The 19,088-nt window shown below is 33.8% G+C and overlaps 1 protein-coding gene across 2 annotated transcripts in view, besides 1 other annotated feature; it reads left to right on the top strand.

Moving 5' to 3' along the window:
• MMP16 (matrix metallopeptidase 16) overlaps positions 1-19,088 on the top strand; it is a 295,473-nt gene that overhangs the window by 226,348 nt on the left and 50,037 nt on the right. The window lies entirely within an intron of this gene.
• Positions 12,230-12,938: an enhancer, noted in NCBI's record as "OCT4-NANOG hESC enhancer chr8:89100426-89101134 (GRCh37/hg19 assembly coordinates)". NCBI's record gives its function as "activates a minimal SCP1, AML or CMV promoter by ChIP-STARR-seq in naive H9 embryonic stem cells {active_cell/tissue: H9 hESC(naive)}" and the evidence as "EXISTENCE:reporter gene assay evidence [ECO:0000049][PMID:30033119]".

Below are 19,088 nucleotides of genomic sequence, written 5' to 3'. Positions count from 1 at the left end.
TTTATTTTTTAAATTATACTTTAAGTTCTAGGGTACATGTGCACAACGTGCAGGTTTGTTACATTTGTATACATGTGCCATGTTGGTGTGTTGCACCCATTAACTTGTCATCGTTAGGTATATCCCCTAATGCTATCCCTCCCCCCTCCCCTCACCCCACAACAGGCCCCGGTGTGTGATGTTCCCCTTCCTGTGTCCAAGTGTTCTCATGGTTCAATTCCCACCTATGAGTGAGAACATGCGGTGTTTGGTTTTTTGTTCTTGCAATAGTTTGCTGAGAATGATACTTTCCAGCTTCATCCATGTCCCTACAAAGGACATGAACTCATCCTTCTTTATGGCTGCATAGTATTCCATGGTGTATATGTGCCACATTTTCTTAATCCAGTCTATCATTGATGGACATTCGGGTTGGTTCCAAGTCTTTGCTATTGTGAATAGTGCCACAATAAACATACATGTGCAGGTGTCTTTATAGCAGCATGATTTATAATCCTTTGGGTATATACCCAGTAATGGGATGGCTGGGTAAAATGGTGTTTCTGTTTCTAGATCCTTGAGGAATCACCACACTGTCTTCCACAATGGTTGAACTAGTTTACAGTCCCATCAACAGTGTAAAAGTGTTTCTATTTCTCTATATCCTCTCCAGCACCTGTTGTTTCCTGACTTTTTAATGATCGCCATTCTAACTGGTGTGAGATGGTATCTCATTGTGGTTTTGATTTGCATTTCTCTGATGACCAGTGATGATGAGCATTTTTTCATGTGTCTGTTGGCTGCATAGGTGTGTTCTTTTGAGAGTCATCTGTTCATATCCTTTGCCCACTTTTTGATGGGGTTGTTTGTTTTTTTCTTGTAAATTTGTGTGAGTTCTTTGTAGATTCTGGATATTAAAGACTTAAATGTTAGACCTAAAGCTATATAAACCCTAGAAGAAAACCTAGGCAATACCATTCAGGACATAGGCATGGCTAAGGACTTCATGTCTAAAACACCAAAAGCAATGGCAACAAAAGCCAAAATTGACAAATGGGATCTAATTAAACTAAAGAGCTTCTGCACAGCAGAAGAAACTACCATCAGAGTGAACAGGCAACCTACAGAATGGGAGAAAATTTTTGCAATCTACTCATCTGACAAAGGGCTGATATTCTGTATGAGGAGAATCTTTGTAGCTGCCTCAGTACCACTCAGTACCACTGCCCTAAAGAGCTTACAGTCCAGTGTGGCAAATAGACATTAATCAACTAATCAGAAGACAAATAAAATTCTACCTATATAAAATGCAAAGTAAAGAAGGCAGGAGGTATAACAAGAGCATATAAATTGTTTCATTTTCATTTTTAAAACATGGTCATTAAAATCGGGAAATGCTTTTCTGAGGAAGAGATACTTTAACTAATGAGGTATCCCTGTTTTTTGTTTTTTGTTTTTTTAAATAAGAGAAACAACATATTACAGGGGAAAAAATCTGGACTAAAAGTCAGGATACGTGGCTTTTAGATCCAGACTGTTTTACCTTGATGAGAATTTCAGTTATTGGACTATAAATTTCTAGTCAAATAAGGAAAATAATAATAGTTGTGCTACCCATCTCATCATGAGGCAAGATATTTAAAGCATTTTAAATGTTTCAAAATAGCTGAACTGATGTTAGACATTGTCATCATTGGTATACATTTTAGGACGAATTTTTTGAAATGTATGATACTTTTATGTCACTTTTATAGTTTTAAATTGTATTAAGTCACTATATATTATATTAGAGACTTCAGCTGTCTTAAAAACCAAAAGGTTCTAGACTGTAAAGTTTAAAAATAATTATCAGAAGTGATATGGGACCTGAAAAATATGACAAATTTTAATCAAGGCTGGGAAATAAAATTTTAGTAAAAATTTTAAAATGTTTCCCATTTTCCCCAATCTCTTTGGCTTTTATTTAAATAATTCTGTTTTTCATAATATAAAAAAATTCTTATATTCTTTTTAGAACGTACATAGAATTTGAATATATGAAATTTAGAACATGTACATAAAATTTGAATCTATATGTTAGATTTTCTAAAAATAATTCCTTATACATATATCACTTATTTCAACTTATCACTTATTTCTAAGGAAAAAAATGGTTTTATCATAATATAGGAAAATTTATTTTGCTATAATTATGGCAGTTTAGGCAAATAACTCAGTGTAAAAAAATCTACATATGTATCATTCATAGAATGGGAACAAAATAGTGATCATATAGTTTTATCAACATATAAAAATTTTTGCAAGTTTAGCCATAATTTTGTTTACATACAGGCTTTTATACTTCTTTTGGCTTTTCTTACATACTTACAAAATTAATTTTCATAATATTATACTTGTATTTTCTTTGATAGGTGTCAGATGAGAGCCGGGTGTTCACAATAGACAATGAAGTTGTTTTCTACTTTGCTTTTTCTCTTCTTAAAAGTCAATGAATGTTATGAATTTCCAACTGTGTAATTAGTTTCATTTATTCCTTTAATCTGTAGTAGTAATATTTACTCTTGAAATAAGTATTTGTTATGTTATAAAGAATTGGCCATGCCCTAAAGGAAGCCTAGCTTTTGCCCTCTGATATGTGGAGTTAACCTATGTCATACTTGATACAGTCTGTTTGTTTAGGGAAGGGGCTGATGACACTGGATCATAGGGTAGGGACTGGCCACACCAGAAATACCAACCATGTGATTTAAAGTGATTCACATGGTATAAGTAGACCTAGACGCTGAGCCCACCCATGTGGGCAACCAGTCAATCAATCCTGCCTACATAATGAATACTCAATAAAAACTCTGGACACTGAAACTCAGATGAGCACCCATAGTTGGCAGTAGCCCATGGATGTCATCAAACATTGATACTAGTGTAGTAATACATCCTGAGGACAATGGAAGCTTCTCACACTTAGTCCAATGTGTCTGTCCCTTTTGCTGATATTTTATCTGTACCCTTTCCCTGTAATAAAACATATCGATGAGCATAATAGTTTTCAGTGAGTTCTTTGGGTCATTCCAGGAAATTATCAAGTCTGAATTTCAGGAATCTCTCAAACTTGCAGTTGGTGTCAGAGTGAGGGTGTCCTTGTGTGGACTCTTCCCTCTGACTCTAGTTGGACCCTGACTCCTCGCCGTTGGTGTCAAAAGTCTTGGGCAGGACCTGGCAATCTGGAGTAGTGTGCCCTTAAGCTCACAGTTTGTCTAACTCCAGGTAATTCCATTATCCAAATTCCTCAAATTTCTTCAACTCAGTGACACATTTTTTAGTAAAATTTATTCTTTGAAAAATTAAGTATAACTATTAAGGCCTCCTTCAATCTTTAACAAACTGAATTGTAATTCTTTAACAAACTGAATTATGAACTTTGTCATAATTGATTTTCATTTGCAGGTTGGAAGGCTGGGTTGATGGGGAGGTCCTGCATCCCAAGTCCCATTCTTTTGATGTTTTCATTCTTTTTTTTTTTTTTTTTTTTTTGAGACAGGGTTTTGCTCTGGCTCTCAGGTTGGAGTGCAGTGGTGTGATCATGGCTCACTGCAATCTCCACGTCCCAGGCTCAAGTGACCCTCCCACCTGAGTCTACCAAGTAACCAAGACTACAGGCATATACCCTGACACTCGGCTAATTTTTGTATTTTTTGTAGAGACAGTGTTTTGCCATGTTGTCTAAGCTGCTCCCGAACTCCTGGGCACAAGTCATCTGATCACCTCAGCCTCCCAAAGTTAGTATTTGGGGATTAGAGGCATGAGCCACTGCACCTAGCCTCCATTCTTAATAGAATGTTTAAGCAGCATGAATCTGTACATAGAAAAGATCCTTGGCAAATTATATACTGAGGATCAATATAGTTAATATCCTGGTTCAACCAAAAAAAATAGTTTTTCTTACAGATAACTTAAATTTAAACTGAAATCATAAAACATTTTCCCTAATTGAGTTTATGAAAACTCTTACCAAAGTTATAAGGACTTTCCAATAGAGATCAATAAAAGGGATATTACAGGTGACATCGAATATTTTAAAATCTGCCACGTGAAGGAGCCCATTCTGTGCATGTGCAGAGGTAGAACTAAAACCTACAGTGGAAAAGCAGATTTTGCCCTAGGAATGTCTTTTCTTTCAATGAAATTGTCACTACAGAGCCATATCCTCAAATGTTAGAGATTGAGAGAAATCTGTCTACAGGATATATAATAAATATGATCACTTACAGTGTTTTAAATGCTAGAATGTATAACGTTAGGGTGTTTTCTCGCGTTTCCAATCATGGATGAGTCTGGCTGGAACCTTTAAAAAATTAAAATACACCCTCCTATAGCTATATATTTAGATAATATTTGCCAGAAGAGGGTGTGACTTTCCTATGAGGGTTGCATATTTAACAAATTCCTTCAGTCCCCATATTGCCTGTTGGGAAGACTTCTAATCAATCTTCCTGACAGGGACTGGCTTTAGACATAACACTCAGTCCAACAGTAAATTACATACCTAAGGCCTCAGATGAAAGACTAGGAACCTAAATTTCTTGTTTTCAAAGTAGTTGTATTTCTCTTGTTTATTTTTAAAACACGAAAGACAAAAAAAAATGGCAGTGATCCTTTGAAGAATTTTAGAAGCAGGAAATACAGTCCTCAACTTTGTTCAAAATAATGCCATTGCCATCAGCATTCAAATTTGAAATAGGGACACTGAAGTTATGATTAGCCAATGTATCCAAGTAAGACTTTTTAAGTTTTAAAAAATTAGTTATTAAAATATCATCACAGGTCTGAAGATATATTATCTAAAACTCTGAAGGCCAGCCAGTTTTAAAATATATCTTCCATAATAATCTCATAGGATCTAGGGAAATAACTCATAATCAAACCCATTAATATTCTTTCAATGAAACTTATAAATATTATTAACAACTGGTATAGTCTCTAAAATATTCTCACATCGTTGATATCATATTGTCTGCCAAATAAGTTTGTACCAAAATCAATAAACAACGTTCTTCTTTCAAGCTCTCTGGGTTTTAGAACTGTGGATTAGGGATTGTAGATCTGTACAATGAATATTGCACAACAGTGTAAACAGACAACATTGTCACTACTTTTTTCCTTTACCAATATTTCAGGAATCTTGTGAGGTATAAATAGTAAAATATAGTTTTGAGCTTAAAGTTTGAACAAGTTACAGTTGGCTTTCTTATACACTCTCTTATTCACTACTCCATTTCCAATGCCTAGCATAGCGCCTAGCTTTTGGAGGTGGAAAATAGTTATTTATTAAATGAATTCATTCTACGTAATCAGTGATTTGGGAAGTCTTTTGAATGCTCAGCAAATAACTTGATGAGGTTATTCAGGAAGGTACTGTCAGGGACACTCTTACATTGTCAAAGGCTCATTAGATAATCAGGCATGGATTCAGGTGGAAGAGCTGTACTTGGTTTTGAAGCGTATTATTTATGAGAGCAAAAACTCACTTTACAAAACAATATTCCCTAATGAATCAGGTGGTATTGTTCATCTTTCAAATATCTATAAATAAAATAGGTGCTCCTTGTGAATTTTCTAATAGGTATAAGCAGAGTTGGAAACTTGTCAGTTCCCCCATTTTTACTACAACTTTGTGCCTGAACTGAAAGAGGCATTCAGATATCCTTTCCCCATGGTACGGATGGGGAAGTAAGACATGAGAGTTATGCATCTTACCCTAATGCATAGAAGACCAAAGTCAGAGATCGGAGTCAAAACCAGAATCCAGGACTCTTAGTACTTTCTAACATGCCATTTCTATTTAGGTTGCTGGTGGAAAAAAAAAATTAAAGAACAACAACAAAAACACACACACATTTCAGTCTACCTGTAGTTATAATAAACTTGCAAAAATTTAAGTCAAATTTCAAGGCAACATTGATAGATGGTTTAAAAAAAAAAGTCTTTTAGCAAATTATTGACTTCTTTTCCTCCATATCACTAAGCATTGCCAGTAGTAAAATATTAATGTACTGTAAAATCTGTAGAGCGGTGCCTTGTATTTTTATACCTAATCAACTCTGTCTATAATTTTGTAACCATGTGGCCCACCCTGAATTACAGTTGCAAGCTATATGCATTAATAATATGGAAACTACTGTGAATGAAATAAGCCTTTGAAAGTGGTTAGGAAGGCCAAAGAAAGAAAACTGAAATCCTTTTGACAAGCAGTTTCTGAAGCTCTGACGTCCCTTTAAAGGCCTTTTTCATGTTGGCATATAGACAGGCTTTACATAACACACAGAGTAAAACCTATTAACTGTAGTACAAGGGGCTAACAGTTTTTCATGAGACCTGGAAAGAAAATGGACAAATTTTCCTACTACTGACATTTCAGTTTGAAATTATATTTTTGAATTTTTGGCTGGAGAAAACAGACATAACTTCTTTTGAGATGTATTACTGGTGTGTATCTGCCTCTTGAATTTCCTTGATAGCTACGTATTGCAAATCATAAATATTTTATAAAATATTTTATAAACTATAAATATAAAGAGTTTTTTTAGCCCTAGATCTTTGCAACAAAAACTAAAGACTAGACAGAACATAGCACAAGGGAGAAAGATACTGTTTCTTTTGTGTACTTCATGTTTATAATTATGGTCAGTAAACAGTTTTAAAAATAAAGCAATAGCCCATCTTATTTAGTGTTAAAAAGGTTGTTAATTTGAAAATCAGTGAACAATATCACTAGTTAATCTTTTTATCACTCTTCTAATTACTATCAATAATTTCAAATATTTATAATTTCTTTATAAGTTAGTCTATATATAATTTTGGTAGTTATATTTATCAGTGGAATCTATGGTTATCTAACATTTATCTCTTACTTGTTAAGGATTCTGTTGGGTTATATGGAAGAAACCATCATAGAATATTTCAGGGCTAAAGCATGTTTGGAAAAAAAGAAATGAATATAATTATCCCACATTAAAAATACACTATCGTACTTTCCCAAGAACTCACAATATGTAGTTATGTTATATGTAAAATAAAGAGTTCTTTCTGTTATTTCCAGTAATACACTCTGCCTTGGTCTAAGCCCAAGACAGACCCGCCTTATACTAAATAAATATTATGGCATTTCATATTAATGTGAGAATTCAATGTGGGTGTTGGGCCAATTCTGATATAGCATGTAGAGATTGTTTCCTTGAAATTCTCTAGTTATACTCTTCAAACATGAAACATTTATAGTGTCATTGAAATTGCTAGTATATACATAGAAATAAAGGGAGGAAAATATCATTTAAGATTGTGTTTGATGTTCAACCATAACCCAGACACTCCTGAAACAGGGTATAACATGTCAGCATTTGTAATTCACCTACCTAAGTAAAGCCTAAAATGACCTCCTGTGCTATTAAAAATGCTGCTTGAGGGTTATTTTAAAATATCATCCATCATTTATGTAATTATTATCTTAATTTTAAAATTTTATTTATAAAGAAGTACAAAGAACAGCTAAAATCTGGATACCAAACAACATTAAGGTAGTGTAAATCAGAATTGCTTTCTATTTTAAGATGTTAAACATAGCCAGGAAGGTGGCTGGCCAGTTCATTCAGTACTCAGGGTCACTGTGTATCAAGATCTAGTCTTTAGGTTTATGGACCAGGCTGTCTCAGTGATTCGCGCTTAAAAGGAATCACTGAACAAACAAAAATCACAAAAGACTGGTTATGGTTGATCGATGGGCCAAAGTGGCAACTTATCAATTTATAGTGAGAATTTTAATTCTCACAGAAAATATGAATTAATTATACTCAAGAAGATTCTGCATTATAAGCCACATTATAATCAAAAGTCGGCTTCTGAAGCACTTAGACAATGTTAATTGCATCCCTAGAGCAATCATTTTTTGATAGCCTGATACTCCCAGTGTTTTGCTAGCATGTAGTTGATATTGTACATTGTTACATGTGTTAAGTTTTCAGGACATACAGTCCCCTGGGTAGTATTAAAGTCCCCCTGACCAAAATCTGCTTTTTTATATCCTTTTTTTCTTAAACAATAAACAGTCTGCATTGCCCATTGCAAAACCTCCGTTTATACTGGATTTCCTTAGAATATTTGGAAATATTTAAGAAGAATTAAATACCTTTGTTATTCTTCCACAGATTTGCATGCATCCCAGTTTCACCAAGAGATACTCACTACCAATTGAGTGGGTTACAGATACAGATGGTCAGTCTCATCCATTAAAGGCTAACTTTTTACTTAACTTTCATGATGGTATACTTACACATACAATATGAAACTTTGTAGTTACTATATCTCGATATAAAACTTGGTAAATATTAATGGCAAAGATCAAATTGGGAAAGAAAAGTCAATGTATTTTTTAATTTAAAAATGCCTTTATATTTCAAAAAAGCACATTTCTGCTTTGAATAACTTTAATCTTCATTTCTTATTTAATGCATTTTTTGATTTATTTATGCAATAAATATTTATAAGGTGCCTGCCTTTGCCTGGCAGACTTTTAGTATCAGGGAATACCACAATGAGCACCACAAAATCCCTCTCCTAAGGTGAGCTTTATTTGGGAGAAAGAAAGGACAGTCAAAAATCACATAAATATACATAAGTACTTGAGACATTAACAAATTCAAAGGTGAAAATTAAACAGGGTAATGTGATAGATGCTAAGAGTTGAGATATGTGGAAAGGAAGATACTGTAGTTTCCGAAGGATCTTTTCTGAAGTGGTGACATTTTAGCTGAGGTTTAAACAGATAAAGGAACGAGCAATGCAAAGATAAAAGGAAAGAACATTCCAATTAGACCTGTAGCTAAATAACGTTTTTCATCAGATTCTAAAAAGAAAAAACAAAATTCTGGAAGTTATAGCCATAGAGCCTATACCTGTGATACTGTGATACCACAATTAGCATTTCAGCTGACTACACCAGTAGAGTTGTAGAAACACTGCAAATTTTTTATCAGTAGTTACAGTGTTTCGGCTGAAGACTGACTCTAGAAACACTAATGCCTTAGAATTATGTCACTCAACATTTTCTCATAGTCTTGGATCACTGCTGCATTTTTGAATTTATTTTCTTAGCCATACAGGAGTCTTAAGTATGAGAAAAAAATCATAACATTGATCAAATGCTAAAATGTTATTTTCTAGAGCAAGGCTATTCAATAGAGCTTGCTGCAATGATGAAGGTACTCTGCGTGCTACCCAGTATGATAGCCACAAGTCAAAAGGCTGCTATTAAGCACTTGAAGTGTGGCTAGTGCAACTAAGGAAGTAATTTTTAAATTAGATTTAGTTAACTTAAATTTAAGTAGCTACACATGGCTAGTGGCTATCATATTGACAGCACAAATCTAGAGAATTAATTTTTAGTAATTATCAGTGTTTGGGGACGTATTAATTGATTACTTCTTTTAAAAATTTAAGTTATACCTTTGGACTACTAATAAGAGGTAAACTAGAATCTATCTCTTAATTGGAAATACATTGATTAAGAGAATATCTTAAACCTGTGTGTGTGTGAGTGTGTGTGTTTGTGTGTGTAAATGAATTAGTCACCTTTTCATTTGTTTTTCCTGTGGCATACGCTAAAATACTGTTCCTTCCTCTGTGGCTTAGGAGATAATGGTGCAACACTCTATACCCAGAAGAAATGAACCAGAACAATATACAGAATGCTGTTGAATGGAAGAGCATTAACCTCCATTCCCTTAATGTGTTTGTCCTCACGGTCACAATTTCTACTGTATCTGACTAGTAAGAAATAGTTATAACAGAATCTGACTAAGGAAGAAAAAATCTGCAGGGATCTTTTGGGGGAAAATAGGTATTATTGGTCTTATATGAAAAAAATATTCAACAAGAATGAATGATAGTGTTAAAATATTGCAAAACAGGAGATGATCTGTATTCTTTATTGGTCTTTGGGAGTAGGAGAAAATCTGATTTTTTAATCATATGAGTGACTTCTGTTTAATGATTGATGATTTAATTATGGTGATTGAATCTTAAAAACACTCTTCAGAAAACAGCTATGAAGATAACGTTCACTAAGCCCCCAAATTAAGTTACTGTAGGTCAAAAAAGCATTTTGAAGGATCAATAGGAAAGAGAAAGAAAAGACTTTCCCCCTTCCAGGATTTTCCAGACACAATATTGACTACTTTTATTAGTGTAGCTTGGCAAATTGAACTCAAATATATATGCTTATATTCATGAGGATAATAGTAACAGTGTTATTTTTCTATACATTGGATCACATGAGACATATCCAGACCACAAAAGCTATTTCAGTATTACCTAGGCCCACCTTTACTTGTTTTCGTTGTTCAGCTTCAGCTTTGGAATTAAATGGAACAATGTCTATTTTGTAAAGCTCTTTAAGATATATATTGTGTAGACACATCTTTAGTTGTAATCAGTAATATTAAAGTAATTTTTTTAATTAAAATTTTAAAAATTGTCAAAGAATTGACAATTTTTAGTCATGCATTTGAGCACCAATCAGAGGAAAGATGAACTTGATGGACCAGGTATTACCAACTCACTCATTTTGTGCGTAACTCACTGACTCAGTTTTCCTTTCAGAAAGTAACTGTCTGATTGTAGCTCAACACAAAAATACTTGAGCCATAAATATCTAACATTAAAAATGTTTCAGTACAAAATAGTTTTCTTTAATTTTCCACAGGAAGAATAATTATAAAATTAAAGCAAAATGATTCATTCCTTTAATATCATTCCTTTAAATATTATTCCCTTTCAGTTCAATTGAAATAGTATTTGCTTTACACAATAATCAATAACCAAGTTTTCAGGACTAGATGTGTGGCATAAAGTAAGATTCATCTATATTCATGATGTTTATAAAACTAATTACCATTGTAACTTCTTTCTCAACCCCACAATAAAAATCAAGAAACACTGAAAAATTCTAAAACCTTGCAAAAAATTGGAATATATTTCTCCCTTCATATATAAGCAGAAGACAGGGAGAAAAAATTAATTTGCTCAACTAAATAAGCTTGTTTCCTCTCCTCGCTTCCACATTATTTTGACTACTCATGAAGGAATACAGGGAAAATTACATATTCTCAATTACATTTGAACTTTTCACTGTTATCTCCCAACATAATATACATGTGATTGAGCAAAAAGGAATTTTTCCACATATATAAATGTGTTTCATGATCTAACCTTTTCTTTCTTAATGCTTGGAACCTAATCTGATTTTTTTTTAATTATCTGCAGTATGGTTTTGTTCACTTAGCAATCTCAGTCTGGGAGGTGTGTTTTATTATTTAACATTTACTTCTCTACCTAACTCAAGTGCTTTATTTTCTCTACTTGTTGCAGTAGTGGACTTCCCTCCTGAAATCCCTAGTGCTTTCTTTTCTAACCCCAAGTGAACGTCTTCCCCTTAGACATAGCACAATGCTGCACAGCCTGTCAGACCCTTCTGAATCCCCATGTATTATTACTTCATTTCCTCTTCTTTTTAGTCCCTCATTTCCTGTTTTCTTATATACATTCTACTTCAATGATCATGTCATTGGATGCCCCATCAAGCTGTTGCCTTTCCATTTCATATCACATTGTGTAGTTGCTTTTAGAATTGCCATTCCTTCCCTTCAGTTACCACTCTATCCTCTTGGAGCATGCATCCCCACAACATCCTACCTGAATGCCTCCTGGTCATCAAATCTTATTTCCCCTTTTACCAAGAAGATATGTCCTCCTGTTCACCATAATCTTCAGCCTTATGAAGCATAGATTATTTTGTGCTTTCCTTTTGTGTGATACGTATTAACTTCCTTTAAGGGTTTTAAGAAAAACCCGTAAAGTTTTTCTATGAAAGCCCAGTCAACTTCATCCTTCCTTGCCTTAAAAGGCTTCTCAAGTTATTCTTAATGTATGGATCTTCCAGCCTAGTGAAAGAGACATATCATCTCTTTTATGCCAAAATGACACCTGGTACTATGTTCAGCTTGTATACATTCACAAAGTTTCAAATTTTATACACCAATTTTGTTTTATTTATCTTTTGTCTTTAGATTCCCAGTTGCTCAGAATGATTTTCAAAAATTATTTGATCACATCGACATAATTGTTCAAGGCTTCATTATTTTGCTGAATGATTAGGAAACTTACTGACTTATTTTTATTTTTTAGAACTTTCTCCAATTGCTTTTGTATTCAACAGTAATTCATGGGTAAAACCCATAAAAATGACCCAGTAGCACAGTGTTTTCCATTCGTTAATGATTGTGATCATCTGACTTCCCTCAAGACTGCCTTAGAACTTGATCACTATTTTACTCCACAGCAAGTTGTGTGTTGAGGACTTACCTTGAGTGTAAAGAAGGGCAGTTACCTTTTGAACTCTTTATTTAAGTAAATAAACCACAGCCACACAGGGACAGCGAAAGGAATGCTTTCAAGAGCATATTAGCATAAAGCAATTAGGTAATGGTAATGAGGATTAGTCTCCCCTGTTATGGCAACAGCTGTTCCTGAACTCCAAAACAAAGTCACTTAGGAATCTTTCAGGGGTGTTTTGCTTTGTAATTTCTTGGGAATTCTCTGCCCTGTCTACCCTTATCTCTTAGGAGCAAATCTCTCATTCAGCCTGGTCTCATTCAGATTAAGTCAAACACTTAATTTGTTGACAAGTAACTTTGTGTTCCTTTGAAAGAAAAAAAGTCTTTCCCTATGGCACATTCCCTCCTGGGCAAACCCCCCTGCCTGCTTCCCTCCCACTTAGGCCTCTACACTTGCTCAGGGCTTTTAAGTAGAGTCTATTGACTATTTCTTTTCTCTCTCTCTGTCTCTCTATATATAGATATCTATAGATATCTATATATATCTATAGGGGCTTAACACAACCATTTGCTCACCATTTTGTGGGTCAGGAATACAGGGAAGGCTCAGCTGAACACTCACTGGGGTCTAGTACATGATCGCAGTCAGACGTCTTCTGTACTTACAGTCAGCAGATATCTATTATATATAGATATATAGATATCTATTATATATAGATATAATAGATATCTATATATCTATATATATAATATAGATACACATTCTTTTATATAGAGATAGATATAGATATATATGTATGTACATTTTTTTGTTTGTTTGGTTTTTTTGGAGACAGGACCTCACTCTGTTACCCTAGGCTGTAGCGCAGTACCACAATCACGGCTCACTGCAGCCTCAACCTGCCAGGTTTAAGCAATTCTCCCATCACAGCCTTCCAAGTAGCTGGGACCTCAGGCATGCAACCACCATGCCCAGCTATTTTTTTGTTTTTTGTAGAGACAGGATCTCACTATGTTGTCCCAGCTGGTCTTGAACTCCTGGGCTCAAGTGATTCTCCTGCCTTGGCCTCCCAAAGTGCTGGAATTACAGGAGTGAGCCACTGCACTGGGCCTCAATATCATATTCCTAATGCTGACGGCCTGCTCCACTTTCTGTGTTCTTTCAGGCTAGTGAAATTCCTCTCGTGTGGTATGGTGAATTCTGGTGAGAAAGAACATGTCTGATTGAAGACCAAGCTGAAAATATACTCCCTAGCTCTAGCTCAACCCTTTCCCTCTTCCTATGTCATATCATGAAACATCTCCTTTTCCCACCCTACTCAGCATGCCTATGCCATGGCACACTGGCCACTATTACGAGAACTAAGGTATGCTGTGAGAATAAGCAGGACAGTCGGCTAAAAAGCAAGAAGTCTTTGGGGGAATAGGAGGCATAGTTTAAAGTAAGTATCCCCAGAGGAGGTGAAGCCTAGATTGTACCTTAAAGAAAGAGAGAGAAAGCAAAGTATGATGATGATGCTTATGGGAAAGAGTATACATATGACTGGCACATTGGCCAGCCTACTTAGACCATTGGATGTAAATTATAATTTAAGTGATTTATAATCTAAGTAGGCTTGCTAATTTAGGACTATAGGCCAGTTTAGGACTATAGGAGCAGGAAAGAGAGCCTAAGAAAGAGTTTCTGGGAGTTCTGGGAGGACACCTAAGAATTTCTGTGAAGACACCTAAACAGAATATTGACCAAGTTTTCCTAAATTCCTGGCCAAGCAAAAGATTTGCTGATCTCTCTCTGTCTCTGTTTTTCTCTCCCTATCTTTGAACATTCATTCAACAAATTGTGCTGGGAACTGTTCCAGGGTTAAGGGGTACAGTCTTTTAATAAGACAGATGAGGCACATACTCTGATGGAAAGCAAGTGAACAAATAAACAAGGTAATTTCAGAGAACAATGGATATTGTGAAGAAAATATAACATGATGCTTTGATAGAAAGAGATTGAAGAGACAACTTTAGCTTGGGTGGTGAAAAAACTAAATTGAATACATTGTCTATGTACCTTGGGTAGAAATGGCCCTATACTCAACAAGAACCTGGATTTTATTGTATGTAAGACATCTTTCTTTAGTTTGAAAATAAAAGGATGGTAATTCTTGATAGGTGTGCTAATAATACACTGTTTTCCCAGCTCATAATATTCACTAAAGGGTAGTTCCCATTTTATAGAGACAGCAAGAATAGCATTTTACACAGCATTTTGAAATTAGCTGTCTGCCTCTCCTCCTCCGTAGATTGAATATACATTCTCAAAGAGTTCATATTTTTGAATCCAGAACTGTTAGTACAATGGAAGGAAGAAAACCTTTTACATGTTTCAACACTTAATAGAGCACCTTGCTAATACGATCTTCAGATCTCAAAGGAGGAGAACAAAAATCAGAATATCATACAGCAGTAATGTGTGGTGCATTCTTATCTGGAATTTGTGACTACTTTCCCTAACTGCAGTACATCGATGGTAAACTTTTTAGTGATTGTTCTTTTCTTCATCATACCCATCCCCCAGTGATTTCTGAACAAGAGTAGATTAAAGAAGAAACAGGAAAAAGATATAAATACCTAAAAAGAAAAGAGTGTCAGCACACACCCATCTTTCACTTACTCCCCAGCTCGCTCTTTCTATGCTAGAGCTGAACTACATTTTTGGTGTAGCAACACTTTTTTATGATTTATTGTTTATGTATAGAAATTGGATAAAAATTAATATATTATTGTCTTCATGAATGAGTATGCATTTTTAAGTTTTAAAGTTAGTATTCTCTAAGTTAGAATTTAAAATGAATACTAATTAATAAAAAGGGGGTCCATATCTGCTACATCACTAAACTCTTCAGTGTTGAGATTTTTCCCTATAAATTAATATAAAAGTGAATATTTAACATTTTTAGACTATAAATGTTAACACATAAACTTAGCACAAGTAGTAAACAAAGTAATCTGAATATATCAACTCCCTTTTCTTTTGAAACACAAATAAACATTTTATTAAAATAGTTTACATTTTTTAATCCAAATGGTAACTATGACATTCTTCCTTGAAAATAAAGACATTAAGGGAAATTTCAGAATTGTGAATTTAGAAATTATTTAGAAGAATCACTTGTTAATATTTCACTTCCTTCCTCTACTATAATAAAGTCTACATTTTGAGCATTTTTCAAAAATACTGGCAGTACCCAAAGTGATTTGACCTATTGAGATGTACTGCTGCATCATTTCTCACAGAATTACATCTGGTCAATCTTAAGTGATGAGCCCTGAAAACCGTGCCTGCAAAATCATTGCAGACATTCACGACTGTCTTAGTGAAAAAGTGTATTCTAATGGTTGCTTTGAACAGGTTTTCCCCTAACATTTATATACCAAAAACCAGCTTGTGTCAGCTCTTGTTATAAAATATTGAAAACTTCCCAGAATGGCATTATCTTTGCCAGACACATCTATTAAGCCTCCCTTAATAGTTTTTCTTCTTCAAGTTATGACTTTACTTTTTCTTTTCCAATGTTGAAAAAGTAATACAGTTAATTAAGTGTAAATGTCCTTGCTCTCTTTTTAAACACTACAGTACCTTTTACAATTATCTGTAAACAGTAAACCTGAGAACAAAATTTAGTGTGAAATTAAATTAATGAATTTATAATGTTTGCATGGTATCACAATATGTGATCTTACATTTCCAGTCCACATATGTTACAGTCAAATGAAGCATATATTACCCTTAGTTACATGCCACAAAACATATTTTTGTTTCTTTTTTAATGAACAAAGATGTTGGTTGCAGCCTTTTTTATAGTAGCAAATCTAAATGGCTAGTCAATGGAGGTTTAATAAACTTACATTCACTAGTTAGAATAGTATTTACCCATCACAAATATTTACAAAGATTCCATAATAATATTTTTTCATAATGTAGTTACCTATGTATTTTCCAGATTTTTAATGAGTATTTTTTTAACTTTTTACTAAGAAATTTTTCACAAATACAGAAAAGTTGCAAGAATAAACATGGTCACACCTAATATTTAGATTTCACAACTATTAGTGTTTTGCTTATATTTTCTTCATGTGTATGTATGTATGCAAATGCAGTACACATGTGCAAGTGTTTGGCGAAACAAAGTTGTAGGTATCATGAAATTTCATCTTTAAATACGGGATCCAATGACTATCTATGTGTTGCTTTTGACTATGTCTTTTTAGATCTTTTATTGGGCTCTTTTTTTTCCAGCCTCTTTTCTTTTTTTTTCCTCCTTTTTCTTCTTGCTGAGACCAAGCCAAGTTTATAGTCTTATAAACTATCTCACATTTTAGGATGTGTTTGATTGCTTGTCTTAAGTTATTCCTCTCTTAAATGTGAAGAAGTTAAGTCTGAAGGCCCAATTAGATTTGGCCTAACAAAAACTTGGCCTAACAAGTTTTGCTTCTACGTGATTGTACATCATAGACTTTGTGATTTTCAAATGCCTAGCTATTTGTGTTGCATCACATTATGAGCATATATCAAGATGTCCACTATCACTGATGCAATCCTTGATGCTTAGGGTGGCAACTGACATAACTTTGCCTTGGAAAGGTATACTTTTGCTATTAAAATTAGCATATATACACACAAGTGCATGAAAAATTGGTGAGATTTTAATAACATTGGTAAATGGGATCATTCTCACTTTTCTGGTTTTGAAATTGTACTGTAGTTAGGCAAGCGTTACCATTGGGGGAAAAGTAGGGAAGGGAAAATGAATCTGTTTGTGTTATTTCTTATAATTGCATGTGAATCTGCAGTTACCACAACATGAAAATTTTTGTTTTGTTCTTTGCTTACTTTGCAGGCTGTTTTTTAGTAATAGGTAAATATCTTCTTTCTCAATAATAGATGGAATGTAGTCAAATTCAGTGATGGTTCTTGCTTGAACCAGTTATTTAATTGGGAGTTGCAAAATGATTTTTCTCTTTCTGTTTTCCCTTCTGCATTAGGCATTCTTCTCTAAAAAGCTAACTCTCATGAACTAGAGATGAACTACATTTTTTCTTCTAAAAAGGCAGCACAGATGTTTAACTCTTTCTTATAGTTAATTCTTTCCCTTTGATTACCAATTTTCAGTGAAAAGAGTTTTTACACTAGCCAGTTGCAATAGTAATGATTACTACTCTCGAACTCTTAAATTTATTCATTCTGTATATTATACCCAATTGCAGCCATTTTTCCTTTTGATTCCCACTTTAATCCCAAATTTACCCTTTGCTTAAGCTGCTCCCATGCTTTGGCTTGCTTCCATTAGTCTTGAGTAATTTCTTGCTTTGTCGCAATTGTTCCAGGCTTACCTTGTAATTAGCCTATCTTGAGCCCAGACTCAACTATTCTCCAAGAAGCCCTGATTCCTTCTAATAGGTGCTCTATGTAATACCCATCACTGGAATATTATGGCTTTTATGTCTTTTGAGCCAACAAAATTAAGAAATTGTGAAAATTTCCTAAAAATTTAGAAAAAATTAGAAAATTCTGTTTGTGTATGTGTTTAAATCATGAATTATTTTCATTCTAATTTCTAATCCAAATGTAACATTAATTAACATACTTATATCTCTTTTTTTACTCTGAAACTCTTTGTTCTAATAACATTAACATATTAACTTTTGTCTTATAATAGTTTTAAATTTATAATACCAGAAATCCTTTTAACCATAAAATTATTGAATGAAGATTAATATTTATTTGAAGTTTCTTTTGTGGTCTATTTCCCACTAATGTACAATCAGAGTACTGGGTTCCAAAGTCATATGATATATTTATTTTCTCCATGTGGGTATGTTTCCAATTTCTTATACAGATGAATTTAGGGATTTATTTTTAGCACATGCTTTTTTTGCCTTTGATTTTAATTTTTTTTATTTTTAACAATTCAACCTGACACAAAATTTAATAAAAATAAAAAAAAATAAAACATGCACATAGTCTGAGAAATCTGTCCTGCATTTCCACACTTTTAGTATGCTTCACCCATTTTTATTACTCAGTAACTACTTTTATATTAGTTTCTGTGCTATCTGTTTAGTAAGGACAACATAAGCAATATCTATATTTTATCTATATTTATAGCTATGCCTATAAAACAATGTTAATATAGATAAATTTTCCCATCCTCTTTTACACAGAAGATAGAATACATTTGCTATCAAAAATGACATCACAATGAGAAACCTTGCAAAAATTTACTTCTATTATAGTATATCATATGATTTTGTAATGTATTGCATCTTTTTATTTGGGAGGTTGTATCTTAATTTGAAGTGGATTGACAGAGAAGAGATTACTGGGTCAAAAGACAAATATGTATGTCATGCTATTAGATGTTGCCATATTGATTTCCACAGGCATCATGCCATTTTGCACTCCTACCAGAAATAAATACGGATGCCCATTCCTACAAGCCGTGAGATCAAAGCAATCTGATAATGTATGGTATATCAAAATAGTTTCAGTTTGCATTTTACTTATGAGTGAAGTTGAGTATCTTTCCCTACATTTATAAACTGTGTGTGTGTGTGTCTGTGTGTGCGTGTGCGTTTGTATAAACTGTTCACGTCTTTTACTGGTTTTTCTATAAGGTTTGGGGGTTTGTTTCCTTGATTTTTAAGAGTTCTTTATACATTAGATTAATTGACCAT

Source organism: Homo sapiens, chromosome 8 (genome assembly GCF_000001405.40).
Source record: "Homo sapiens chromosome 8, GRCh38.p14 Primary Assembly".
NCBI lineage: Eukaryota > Metazoa > Chordata > Mammalia > Primates > Hominidae > Homo > Homo sapiens.
Note: the sequence above shows the minus strand (reverse complement) of the source record. Positions and strands in the feature narration are given on the sequence as shown.